At 45.8% G+C, this 13,383-nt stretch overlaps 1 protein-coding gene across 34 annotated transcripts in view, besides 1 other annotated feature; it reads right to left on the minus strand.

The window, feature by feature from the left end:
• Nucleotides 1-13,383, minus strand: part of GNB1 (G protein subunit beta 1) — a 105,802-nt gene that overhangs the window by 14,042 nt on the left and 78,377 nt on the right. For all 34 annotated transcript variants that reach the window (XM_047418078.1, XM_047418076.1, XM_017001061.3 and 31 more), the window contains 2 exons: nucleotides 7,148-7,211; nucleotides 5,092-5,254 (listed from right to left, as the gene is read on the minus strand). In XM_047418078.1, coding sequence (XP_047274034.1) covers nucleotides 5,092-5,254; nucleotides 7,148-7,211 — 227 coding nt within the window. The remainder of the gene's footprint in view (nucleotides 1-5,091; nucleotides 5,255-7,147; nucleotides 7,212-13,383) is intronic.
• Nucleotides 255-304: an enhancer, noted in NCBI's record as "active region_39". NCBI's record gives its function as "activates an Ori minimal core promoter by ATAC-STARR-seq in GM12878 lymphoblastoid cells {active_cell/tissue: GM12878}" and the evidence as "EXISTENCE:reporter gene assay evidence [ECO:0000049][PMID:35858748]".

Here is a 13,383-nt window from a genome sequence, read left to right on the forward strand (position 1 = left end):
TTCCTACTAATACCAGTTTTTTTATTTTCTTGAGTATTTTTGGCTTTTCTTTCTTTGGTTTCAAAGACAAATACAGTCAGTGTTAAATCCAGCAACCTTTGATTACCAATGGAAACAGATGCACAGACTCTGACGGTCATGGGAAGGGACTGCTGAACATAGAGAACACCTTTCCAAAAAGGGTGCTGCGTCAGACAGAGCTGTGTGGTTTACAGGGTCAGTGTGAGCTGCCTGGCTGGACTCCCAGCGATGGCCAGGGGCTCCTATCTGTAGGCATTACCTTCTCACAGAAACAACTATAAGCACTGCACAAACTACAAAACGAAACACCTGAAAGCATGAAAACAGGAGCAGGTAGAAACTGGAGGAGTCTCCCCTGGGAGAAAAGAAAGGCAGGACATGGTTTGTTCTTAAGGAGCTTTCTCTGAGGAGGGGACTGTCTGTGACAACCCCAGGGCTACAGCCTCACACACAAGACCTGTGGCCAAGGTCTTCAAGAGCCAGTAGACAGATTACTGGGCAACCACAGCCAGAAAGCGAAAGGATAACAACTACAAAGAAGAAAGCCACAGAAAGGGAGTCCCAAACTACACACACGGCTGACCAGATATCCGACACCTGAAGTGCACAGGCATGCAGCCCAGCCAGCGCAGAAAAGCTGAACAGAGGTTTCTGCTGCTGCCACACAAGAAAGACAGAGATAGACTGCCTGATACAATGACACTAAACATCAGTTAGTTCTGGAGAATGTAACCGGACACAAAGTCTCTATGACACAACATTTACAATGTCCAGAATACAATTTGAAATTACTACATGTACTAAAAAAATAGCAAAATGTCACTCAGAATCCAGAGGAGAGATCCACAAGGACCAACCTCAGGAAGATGAGATGCTGGGATCAGCAGACAAGAACTCTAAAGGCAGCTATTAAACTCTCCTTGTGGATGCAAAATAAAACATGCTATTATACAAGGACAGGGAATCTCAGCAGGAAAATAAAAAATTTCTAAATAAAAGCAATAGAAACTCTACAACTGCAGAAGGAATATCTGACATAAAGAACCTGCTGGATAGCCTTAGTTTATCAGAGGTAACAAGTACATGAACTTGAATGGAAATAAAAAGGTTAAAAGCAAGTAAGTGGTGCTAACAACAACAAAAAGGAACAAATCTGAAGAAGTGGGAAAGTGATGAACAAACCCCAGCCCCCTGAGCCTCGGGGACAGCACAGATGCGTGTGTATTGCAGCACAGAGGGGCAGGGACTAAGGACAGAAGATGCATTTGAAGACATGGTCTAAAACTTCCCAAATTTGGTGAAAGACAAATTTATAGATTCAAGATGCCAAAGTGCAATAAATGCAAAGAAAATCACACCGAGGCACCTACGTGCAAACTGCTAAAAACCAAATCTTTAGATTGTTAAAAAAAAAAAAAAAAAAGAAAAATAAATTAAAAAAAGAGTCAACCCATAATTCTAGATATCCAGCAAAAATACCCTTCAAGAATAAAGGCAAAATATAAATCTTAGAGAAATGAACACTAAGTGCTTTGCTAGCAGCAGACCTGAGAACTGCATTAACCATGACTTGTTCCGGGTAGGGCTCCCGGCCGAAAGGACGCCCGCAGAAGGCGCCTTTGCAGGAGAGCGGGAAGGGCACTGGACATGGAAGATCTCTCTGGAGGGCAGAGTAGATTTACTTCATTCTTTTCTCTTTGAGACGGAGTCTCACTCTGTTACCCAGGCTGGAGGTGCAGTGGCGTGATCTCAGCTCACTGCAACCTCCGCTTCAGTTCAAGTAATTCTCCTGCTTCAGCCTCCTGAGCAGCTGGGACTACAAGCGCATGCCACCATGCTTGGCTAATTTTTTTATTTTTAGTAGACACGGGGTTTCGTCATGTTGGCTAGGCTGATCTCAAACTCCTGGCCTCAGGTGATCTGCTTGCCTCGGCCTCCCAAAGTGCTGGGATTACAGGCGTGAGCCAACCATGCCCAGCCTATTTCATGCTTTTCATATTTATTCACATTATAAGACCCCTAATTTCTTAAGAATGTTTAAAGTAAAGAATACAACAATGCATCATGGAGCTAATAACACACACAGGTGTGATGCATATGAAAACCACAAGAGTGAGCAAGGGCAGACAGCAGGCCCGTGTGGCTGTGAGTTCCTTACGTTTCCTATCAACTAGGACCAAGTTAACTAGAGGACCGCGAGACATTGGGAATGTACACTATAATCCCTAAAGACACCACTAAGACATCAGGCAAAATGGTTTACCTACAAAGCCCACAGACAAAGTAAAATAGATTTCTTTAAAAAATCAAGTAACCCAGGCCAGGCGTGGTGGCTCATGCCTGTAATCAAGTAACTCAAAGGAAGGTAGGAAGGGAACAACCAAAAAACAAAAATGAAGGGACAAAAAGGTGGCAAAGTAGCAGAGTTACAATAAGAAATATAAATGTGCAAAAGCATATTCCAAAGGCGGGCAGAAAAAACCAAGACCCAACAATGATGCGAGGTCTGTAACAGACTATTTTCAAAGACACAGTTAAGCTGAAAGGACCCCCATGAAGGCAGGACTGACTACATTAGTATCAGAAAAAGCAGCGGTTCCCAACAAAGAGCATTATGAGTGAGAAAGAACAGTTCATCATGAGAGCAGGGTCACAGGGTCAATTAATCACAAAGAGACAACAAATGTAAAGGCATCTACTAAAAGAGCTCAAGATATCTGAAGCACAGATTGACAGAATTAACAGGAAAGTTAGAAAATCCATAATCATTTTAACAGCCCTGCATGAGCATTTCATAGAAAGACACAGAATATTTGAACATGCCAAAAATCTTGCTCTAATTAACATGTATGTAGAAAATCAGGCCGAGATACAACAAAAACACATATCATTCCCATGTGCACACAGCGCGGCCACCATGACAGACCATCAGCTCCATTAAAAACAAGCCTCAAATGTCAAAGGACTGAAATGATACCAAGTGTGTCTTTAAGCACAATGACATCTAATTAGAAATCAACAATAACTAAGAAAACTTCAGATATGTAAAAATTATACATCTAAATAACCTATAAGTCAAATAAGCACTCACAAGGATATTAAAAATTTCACATTGAATGATAATTAAAATACAATATAGGCTGGGAGTGGTGGCTCAAGCCTGTAATTCCAGCACTTTGGGAGGCCGAGGCAGGCAGATCACTTGCAGTCAGGAGTTCAAGACCAGCCTGACCAACATGGCAAAACCCCGTCTCTACTAAAAATACAAAAATTGGCCAGGCGTGGTGGTGCACGCCTGTAATCTACTCGGGAGGCTGAGGCAGGAGAATCGCTTGAACCCAGGGGGTTGAGGTTTCAGTGAGCTGAGATTGCACCACTGTACTACAGCCTGGGTGACAGAGCAGGACTCCATCTTAAAAAAAAAAAAAAAAGACAATATGAAACAAATGTGTGTGATGTGGCTAAAGCCATGCTTAGAGGGAAACTTAAAACTTTAAGTGATTCTATTTGAAAAGGAAGCAAACCAGTGGCCTACAGATCTACTTCAGGTAGCTGGAAAATTAAGAAGGCAACTCCAAAGTAAGCAGAAGGCAGAAAAGAACAGAGAACAGAAATCAACAACAGCAGCAGCATTATCTTTCAAAGGACAAGGTTAAACTTGTAATCTGGCCAAAATTAACTTATTTAACAGACTGCTTAATGGGTGTCAACTGTAGTACTAGTGACTCCATGAACTGATTTCTTTGGCTGCATGTGAAGTGGGCGGAGTGTTATCAAAAAGTACTGGGGCATAAAATGTCTGAGAACAAATAATACAGCCAGAGAGGTAAAATATTAGAATAGTACATCCTCTTTCAGCAAATGTATGCCTTTCATGATGAATTAGTGTCACAAGTAAATAAAATCTTGGTGAAATAATAGACTACCTAGCACTTACGGCCACAGGGCTCTATTATGCCTCATTTGCAGAGACAGGGTCTCGCTTTCGCCCAGCCTGGAGTGCAGTGGTGCAATCATAGCTCCCTGCAGCCTCAACCACCCAGGCTTGAGCCATCCTCCTGAGGAGCTGGGACCATAGTTGTGTGCCACTGTGCGTGGCTGTTTTTCATTTTTTGTAGAGAAGGGGTCTAGCTTTGTTGCCCCAGCTGGTCTCGAACCCCTGGCTCCAAGCTATCCTCCTACCTTGGCCTCCCAGAGTGTTGCAGTTACAGGCATGAGCCACCATGTCCAGCGCAAATCCACAGGTTTCTTACTGGTAAAGGCATATCAGGCTTGTTTTTAGTTTCATTTTCAGAAAACTTCTGGCCATTACTGTGACTTTTATTTGAACCAGTCTCATTTAATGATTCATAAGGCCGGGCGCAGCGGCTCACGCCTATAATCCCAGCACTTTGGGAGGCTAAGGCAGGCGGATCACAATGTCAGGAGTTCAAGACCAGCCTGGCCAATACAGCAAAACCCCGCCTCTACTAAAAATACAAAAATTAGCTGGGCGTGGTGGCGGACACCTGTGGTCCCAGCTACTTGGGAGGCTGAGGCAGGAGAATCGCTTGAACCCAGGAATCAGAGGTTGCAGTGAGCCAAGAATGCGCTGCTGCACTCCAGCCTGGGTGACATAGTGAGACTCTGTCTTTAAAAAAAAAAAAAAAAAAAAAGAAAAAAAGGCTGGGTGTGGTGGCTCACACCTGTAATCCCAGCACTTTGGGAGGCTGAGGTGGGTGGATCACGAGGTTAGGAGATCGAGACCATCCTGGCTAACACGGTGAAACCCTGTCTCTACTAAAAATACAAAAAAGAAATTAGCTGGGCGTGGTGGTGGGCGCCTGTAGTCCCAGCTACTCAGGAGGCTGAGGCAGGGGAATGGCGTGAACACCCAGGAGGCGGAGCGTGCAGTGAGCCGAGATCACGCCACCGCACTCCAGCCTGGGTGACAGAGCGAGACTCCGCCTCAAAAAAAATAATTAATTAATTAATTAAAAAATGATTGATAAAAAGTGAGTATCCAAAGCATATAATGTACCCCAGGTAAACAGCTTGTGTCACTTGAAGCTTATGAACAAGGACAGGTACCTGTGTGTCCTGCCAGCTCACGACTCACGCGCACGTTCCCCTCACGAGTTTTCAGATTGTAAATGGAGCAAATGTTATCCAGGCCACCGCAGGCCACATAGTTCCCAGAAGGGGCATATGCACAGGTCATGACCCAGGAGGAGCGCAGAGGGATGGCGTGGACCTAATGACAGAAAGACAGATGATGCAAACAACTTTATGTTCAAAAACAACACTGACACCAGGATTTTCTCATCTCCAACTTTCACTGCAAAGGAGGTAACAGAACAAAATAAGAGCCAAAATTATCTAGAGAGCGATTCCCATATGTGGCCACTCAGGTGAAGCATACTTAATGAGAAGTCCAGTGCTGCACATGGGATTCAAATTCAATCCACACAGTCCAGTTTTACTGAAGTCACAACTTATGATTAGGTGGAGTCTTAACAGTAGTGCTGCCCACTCATCAAAACCACATTAGGCCGGGTGCGGTCACTCACGCCTGTAATCCCAGCACTTTGGGAGGCTAAGTCGGGCAGATCACCTGAGGTCAGGAGTTCAAGACCAGCTTAGCCAACATGGTGAAACCCCATGTCTCTACTAAATATACCAAAATTAGCTGGGCGTGATGGCGCATGCCTGTAGTTTCAGCTACTTGAGTGACTGGGGCAGGAGAATCACTTGAACCCGGGAGGCGGAGGTTGCAGTGAGCTGAGATCACGCCACTGCACTCCAGCCTGGGCAACAGAGCGAGACTCCGTCTCAAAAGAAAACAAACAGGCCGGGTGCGGTGGCTCATGCCTGTAATCCTAGCACTTTGGGAGGCTAAGGCGGGTGGATCACCTGAGGTCAGGAATTCGAGACCAGCCTGGCCTCAAATTGGTGAAACCCTGTCTGTGCTAAAATACAAAAATTAGCTGGGTGTGGTGGTGGGCGCCTGTAATCCCAGCTACTCAAGGAGGCTGAAGCAGGAGAGTCGCTTGAACCAGGGGGGTGGAGGCTGCAGTGAGCAGAGATCACGCCACTGCACTCCAGCCAGGGCGGTAAGAGCAATGCTCCGTCTCAAAAACACAAAAAAACCCACACGTATTGGAAGGAAAACACTGCATTATCCTGTCAAATGGCTATGAACTCATCTGAAAACAAAAAATTTTTTTTTCGAGATGGAGTTTCGCTCTTGTTGCCCAGGTTTGAGTGCAGTGGCGTGATCTAGGCTCACTGCAACCTCTGCCTCCTGGGCTCAAGCAATTCTCCTGCTTCAGCCTCCTGAGTAGCTGGGATTACAGGCGCCTGCCACCACTCCTGGCTAATTTTTTGTATTTTTAGTAGAGACGAGGTTTCACCATGTTGGCTAGGCTGGTCTCAAACTCCTGACCTCAGGTGATCCACCTGCTTCAGCCTCCCAAAATGCTGGAATTACAGGTGTGAGCCACGGCGCCCAGCCGAAAACAAAAGATTTTTATGGAATAACCAAAATGGACATTCCTACAATCTACCCTGCCACATCTCTCCCACTGTTTTAGATCTGCTGTAATTAATGCAATCATTTATACACATTTAGTATTCTTTAGTAAAATAAACTGAATTACATCTTTTACATACATGTTTGGACCAATGACAATACTTTTTATTCAAAACAATACACTTTGGATTAAGTCTTGAAAATAACATAAATTACACTTTAAAGTATGATGTCTTTCAGATGATCTCTTCTAAAAACTTGTAACTGAATGAAAAGTGATACTTCTGCACTCTATAAATAAAACATGAAACTTCCCAGACTCTGCTAAAACTGGAATTGAGGTCTCCTAGAAACACAGAAGGTCCTTAGCTCCCACCAGCTTGGTAAGGAGATGACGGACAACAGCACAACTGTGCCTGGTCCAGAGGAAGAGACCGTGACAGGTGGCACGTGACTCAGCTTCTATCTCACCTGCGCAACTTCACTACTAACAAACAGAGCTTGCCGCTGCTGCCTTCCCTATCCTGTATTACGTGATTTAACAAAATGAATCCAGAGCTTAAAACCCTGTTTCCTGGGTTGGTTTTTCAAGGAAGGGAATCCTCCAGTCCCTACCTTGTTGGTGGTGTAGCTGTCCCAGATGATAAGTTTACCATCCTGCGAGGCACTGACGAGAAGCCTGGAGGGACAGACAAAAGCAAACCTATCAGTACCGCACAACACAGAAAGTGTACAAGAGCAACAGACTAAAACCCAGACTCTGGTGGCTTATGTGCTCCCATGTTACATGTGCTTCAGACAAAGCCACTTATTTATAAGAAAAAAAATCTCTGGTCGGGCACAGTTGCTCACGTTTGTAATCCCAGCACTTTGGGAGGCTGAGGTGGGCAGATCACATGAGGTCAGGAGTTCAAGACCAGCCTGGCCAGCATGGCGAAACCCTGTCTCTATTAAAAATACAAAAATTAGCCGGGCATGGTAGTGCGTCTCTGTAATCCCAGCTACTCGGGAGGCTGAGGCAGAAGAATCGCTTGAACCTAGGAAGCGGAGGTTACAGTGAGCCACAATCATGCCACTGGACACCAGCCTGGGCAACAGAGTGAGACTCTGTTTCAAGAAAGAAAGAAAGAAAGGAAAGGAAGGCTCTAAATGTCAGACCAACTTCAAAGCATGAACAAAAACACTGTCACAGACCACAGTTGAGAGTGGAGATGCCTGGCCCCAACCGAATGCAGGCCACATCACCCCTGGCACCCATTCCCTTTGTCAGCTGAGACAGGCTGACATCATTTCATAAGTGTTTCTGTTTGGTTTCATTACAAATCAAATTAGAGGCTCATGTCTTTAATCCCAACACTTTGGGAGGCCAAGGTAGGTGGATCACAGGAGTTTGAGACCAGCATGGCCTCATGCTAGCATGGTAAAATCCCGTCTCCACTACAAAAACACAAAAAAATAGCTGGGTATGGTAGTGCATGCCTGTAATCCTAGCTACTCAGGAGGCTGAGGTGGGAAAACTGCTTGAACCCAGGAGGCGGGGGTTGCAGTGAGCCAAGATTGCGCCACTGCACTCTAGCCTGGGCAACAGAGCGAGATCCTGACTGAAAAAAAAAAAAAAAAAAAAAAAAAAAAAACAAACAGAAAGAACAAACCACTTTTAGACATTCCAAATTCATGAAACATTTCTCACCCAAAATACCCCATGAAATTTCCCAGACTGAGCTAAAATTGGAATCAAGGTCTCCTAGAAACCAAAGGAGGCGTTCCCTCCTCACCTGCTTGGTAAACAACAGCACCACTGCGCATGGTCCGGGAGCAGAGACCAGTAACTATCACGAATTTTTTCTTTTTTTCTTTTTTTTTTTTGAGACGGAGTCTCGCTCCGTGGCCCAGGCTGCAGTGCAGTGGCGCCATCTCGGCTCACTGCAAGCTCCGCCTCCGGGGTTCATGCCATTCTCCTGCCCCAGTCTCCCGAGTAGCTGGGACTACAGGCGCCCACCATCACGCCCAGCTAATTCTTTTTGTATTTTTAGCAGAGACAGGGTCTCACCATGTTAGCCAGGATGGTCTCGATCTCCTGACCTCGTGATCTGCCCACCTCAGCCTCCCAAAGTGCTGGGATTACAGGCGGGAGCCACCACGCCCGGCCTCTTTTTTTTGTTTTTGAGATGGAGTTTTGCTTTTGTTGCCCAGGCTGGAGTGCAATGGTGCGTCGGCTCACCGCAACCTCCACTTCCCAGATTTGAGCAATTTTCCTGCCTCAGCCTCCAAAGTAGCTGGGATTACAGACACGCGCCACCACAGCCAGCTAATTTTGTATTTTTAGTAGAGACGGGGTTTCTCCACGTTAATCAGGCTGGTCTCGAACTCCCGACCCTCAGGTGATCCGCCCACCTCGGCCTCCCAACGTTTTGGTATTACAAGCGTTGAGCCACTGCGCCCGACCATGAATTTTTTCATAACTATTTCCTTGCTCTGGCAACTGTGCTCAGTTCGGAATCCACATGTTGAAAAGGAGCTCCATACTACAAAGGAGAATATGAATAAGGAGCAAAAGAATTTCACCTTAGCAGGCAAGTAAGGTGGGTGAAAGGTAACTCCTGGGAACCACAGTTGCTTATGAGAGGTCCTAAGGAACCCTGTAGCACAGAATGCTGTTTTCAAGGAAGAGCAAGAAGGTTCCACTGTTTGATGCAGGGATATCTGTCAGTACGGTAAATGATAGTATAAGGATTTTTAATTTTAAAGTTTCTATCAAACGCAAGGTTTTTTGTTTGTTTGTTTTTGTTTGTTTGTTTGTTTGAGACAGAGTCTCGCTCTGTCACCCAGGCTGGAGTGCAGTGGTGTGATCTCAGCTCACTGCAACCTCTATCTCCTGGGTTCAAGTGATTCTCATGCCTCAGCCTCCCAAGTAGCTGGGATTACAGGTACGTGCCACCACACCTGGCTAATTTTTGTATTTTTAGTAGAGATGGGGTTTCCCCATGTTACCCAGGCTGGTCTCCAACTCCTGGCCTCAAGTGATCCGCCCACCTTGGCCTCCCAAAGTGTTGGGATTACAGACATAAGCCACAGCGCCTCAAAACACAGGTTTTAACTATTTCAGCTGTGAACATATGTGGCTTCTTAAAGCTGACCTAAAGCTGGAGTAACGCTCTCTCAAGTTTTGTTGATAACTCTGACACTTTTAATATCAAACTAGATGTTTTGATACAGGTGTCAATGAGTTTAAGAACAAATAAAAACCTTTTCACCTGCACTTTATTACAAAATTTATCACAGAACTAAAAACTAAGTGCAGGCTCCCATCCTATTATTTTTCAGATGCAATTTTTTTTTTTTTTTTTTTTTTGAGAGAGAGTCTCACTCTGTCACCCAGGCTGGAGCTCGCTGCAACCTCTGCCTCCCAGATGCAAGCAATTCTCGTGCGTCAGCCTTCCCATTAGCTGGAATTACAGGTGTGCACCACCATGCCTGGCTACTTTTTTGTATTTTTAGTAGAGACAGGGTTTTGCCATGCTGGTCTCGAACTCCTGAGCTCAATCTGCCTGCCTCGGCTGGGATTACAGGCGTAAGCCACCGCACCCAGCCTTCAGTTGCAATTCTTAAAGCAAACTTCTCAATCCAGGTTGTCATCAACATATTAAACATTTAAAATTATTTCTACGTAATGGTATCATGTTCCCACTCTAGCTTTATTTCTGCCCAGCCCTTCTGAGACTTTCTGTCGAGTATCAGAGCTGATCTAAAGCAGCTCATCCTCCTAGATTAGGAGGATCACCTTTACAGAGGTCTCCCGGTCAGAGAGCTTAATAACTGCTGACTTCCAGAGGGATTAGGGACACGTAAGCTGTCCACTGATCCTCCAGAAGGTGAGAGAAGACATGCCTCCTAGTCCCGGGTCAGGGAGCTGTTGGAAAGCTGGGTTCACGTTGCCTAGTAGTGCCTTTACCTACTCAAAAATCAATTATCTGAGGTGCCACTCACCTAGAACATAGAGGCAAGGGCCAGGAAGCAAGCTAACAGGCTCCAGGACCCTGAAAGTAGCTGTCAAAAATCAAAACACCTAATGCCCTTCATTTTACTCAAAGGAGGGAGGGTGGTGGCTCATGCCTGTAACCCCAGCACTTTGGGAGGCTGAGATAAGAGGATTGGTTAAGTCCAGGAGTTTGAAACCAACATGGGCAACAAAGGGAGACCCTGTCTCCACAAAAAAATATATATATATATTTTTTGAGATGGAGTCTCGCTCTGTCACCCAGGCTGGAGGATCTCGGCTAACTGCAAGCTCTGCCTCCTGGGTTCATGCCATTCTCCTGCCTCAGCCTCCCAAATAGCTGGGACTACAGGCACCTGCCACCGCGCCTGGCTTATTTTTTGTATTTTTAGTTGAGACAGGGTTTCATTGAGTTAGCCAGGATGGTCTCGATCTCCTGACCTCGTGATCCGCCCACCTCAGCCTCCCAAAGTGCTGGGATTACAGGCCTGAGCCACCGCGCCCGGCCCACAAAAAATATTTTTTAAAAATTAGCTGGGCACAGTGATGTGCACCTGTGGTACCAGCTACTCAGGAGGCTGAGGCAGGAGGATTGCTTGAGCACAGCAGTTCAAGGCTTCAGTAAGCTAGGATCGCACCACTGCATTCTAGCCTGGACGACAGAGTGAGACCCAGTCTCAAAAAAAAAAAAAAAAAAAAAAAGTTGCCTTTTAGTACAAATATATTGATAAACATATTACAAATGTACATCTGATACATTAATACATACATACATAACAAGTAATCATTGTGGGCCTTGCATGTAGTTTTCTTTTTTGTTTGTTTTTTTGAGACAGAGTCTCACTCTGTCACCCAGGTTGGAGTGCAGTGGTGCAATCTTGGCTCACTGCAACCTCTGCCTCCTGGGTTCAAGCGATTATCCTGCCTCAGCCTCCTGAGTAGCTGGGATTACAGGCACCCACCATGAAGCCTAGTTAACTTTTGTATTTTTGGCAGAGACAGGGTTTCACCATATTGGGCAGGCTGGTCTCAAACTCCTGACCTCAGGTGATCCACCCGCCTTAGCCTCCCAAAGTGCTGGGATTATAGGCGTGAACCACGGTGCCTGGCCTCTCATGTAGCTTTATTTGTGTTTTGTTTTGTTTTTTGAGGCAGAGTCTCCATCCGTCACCCAGGCGGGAGTGCAATGCGCATGTTTGTGGGTATATATATACATATATATATATTTTTTTTTTTTTTCTTTTTTTGAGATGGAGTCTCACTCTGTTGCCCAGGCTGGAGTGCAGTGGTGTGATCTTGGCTCACTGCAACCTCCAGCTCCTGGGTTCAAGCGATTCTCCCACCTCAGCCTCTTGAGTGCAGCTGAAACTACAGGCACTCGCCACCACACCTGGCTAATTTTTGTATTTTTAGTAGAGATGGGGTTTCACCATGTCAGCCAGGCTGGTCTCGAACTCCTGAAGTCAAGCGATCCACCTGACTTGGCCTCCCAAAGTGCTGGGGTTACAGGTGTGAGCCACCGCGTCTAGCCTCATGTAGTTTTGAAAGACAAACTAGGCCGGGCACAGTGGCTCACCCCTGTAATCCCAGCACTTTGGGAGGCCGAGGCGAGCGGATCACGAGGTCATGAGATCGAGACCACCCTGGCTAACACGGTGAAATCCCGTCTCTACTAAAAAGACAAAAAAAATTAGCCGGGCGTGGTGGCGGGTGCCTGTAGTCCCAGCTACTCGGGAGGCTGAGGCAGGAGAATGGTGTTAACCTGGGAGGCAGAGCTTGCAGTGAGCTAAGACAGCACCATTGCACTCTAGCCTGGGCGACAGTGAGACTCCGTCTCAAAAAAACAGAAAGACAAATTAGTAGTCATTTCTACTGTTTCCGAGTGTCCATAAATCAAACAAACACAGTTAAAGGAATGGTATTCATAGGCCAGACGCAGTGGCTCACGCCTGTAATCCCAGCACTTTGGGAGGCCGAGGTGGGCAGATCATGAGGTCAGGAGATCGAGACCATCCTGGCTAACATGGTGAAACCCTGTCTCTACTAAAAATACAAAAAAATTAGCCAGGCGTGGTGGCAGGCGCCTATAGTCCCAGCTACTCGGGAGGCTGAGGCAGGAGAATGGCGTGAACCTGGGAGGCAGAGCTTGCAGTGAGCCGAGATCGCACCACTGCAGTCCAGGCTGGGTGACAGAGCGAGACTCCGTCTCAAAAAAAAAAACCCAAAAAAACTGGTATTCATAAATTATAGCTTTAAGTCATGAAAAACAAGCAATAACATTTGTTTATGAAGGCAGGAAATATGAAGATTAAAGAAAATATATACCCTCCCCACTCTGTCATGTGGTGGGGGGCAGGAGGAGGGACAGCATTAGGAGAAATACCTATGTAAATGACAAGTTAACAGGTGCAGCAAACCAACATGGCACATGTATTCCTATGTAACAAATCTGCACATTGTGCACATGTACCCTAGAACTTAAAGAAAAAAAAAAAAGCTTGTGGAACAAGGAGATATAGATATACATGTATATATATACACACACATACATACACACACACACACACACACACCCTCCCCCCAAAAAACCTCTTTTGGACCTTAAAGAGGCAAACACTGGCCTATCCAGAAAAAAACGGCTATTTACAACAAGCAATCTCTAGAAGGCTCTGAAAAGCAGAGGTTCTCCATAATATCATTTTGGTTTTCTCATGACTGTGCAATTATACAACAAATGCCATGCACCTAGCACCCTGTCCAAGAACATGGACCAATGTGGCACCCCAGCCTCCCACAGGCCTCACTGAAGACCGCCTTGCTCACAGGGTGGCCATGATTCTGCACTTGGTCCTGT

The sequence above is a fragment of the Homo sapiens genome, chromosome 1 (assembly GCF_000001405.40).
Source record: "Homo sapiens chromosome 1, GRCh38.p14 Primary Assembly".
NCBI classification, from domain to species: domain Eukaryota; kingdom Metazoa; phylum Chordata; class Mammalia; order Primates; family Hominidae; genus Homo; species Homo sapiens.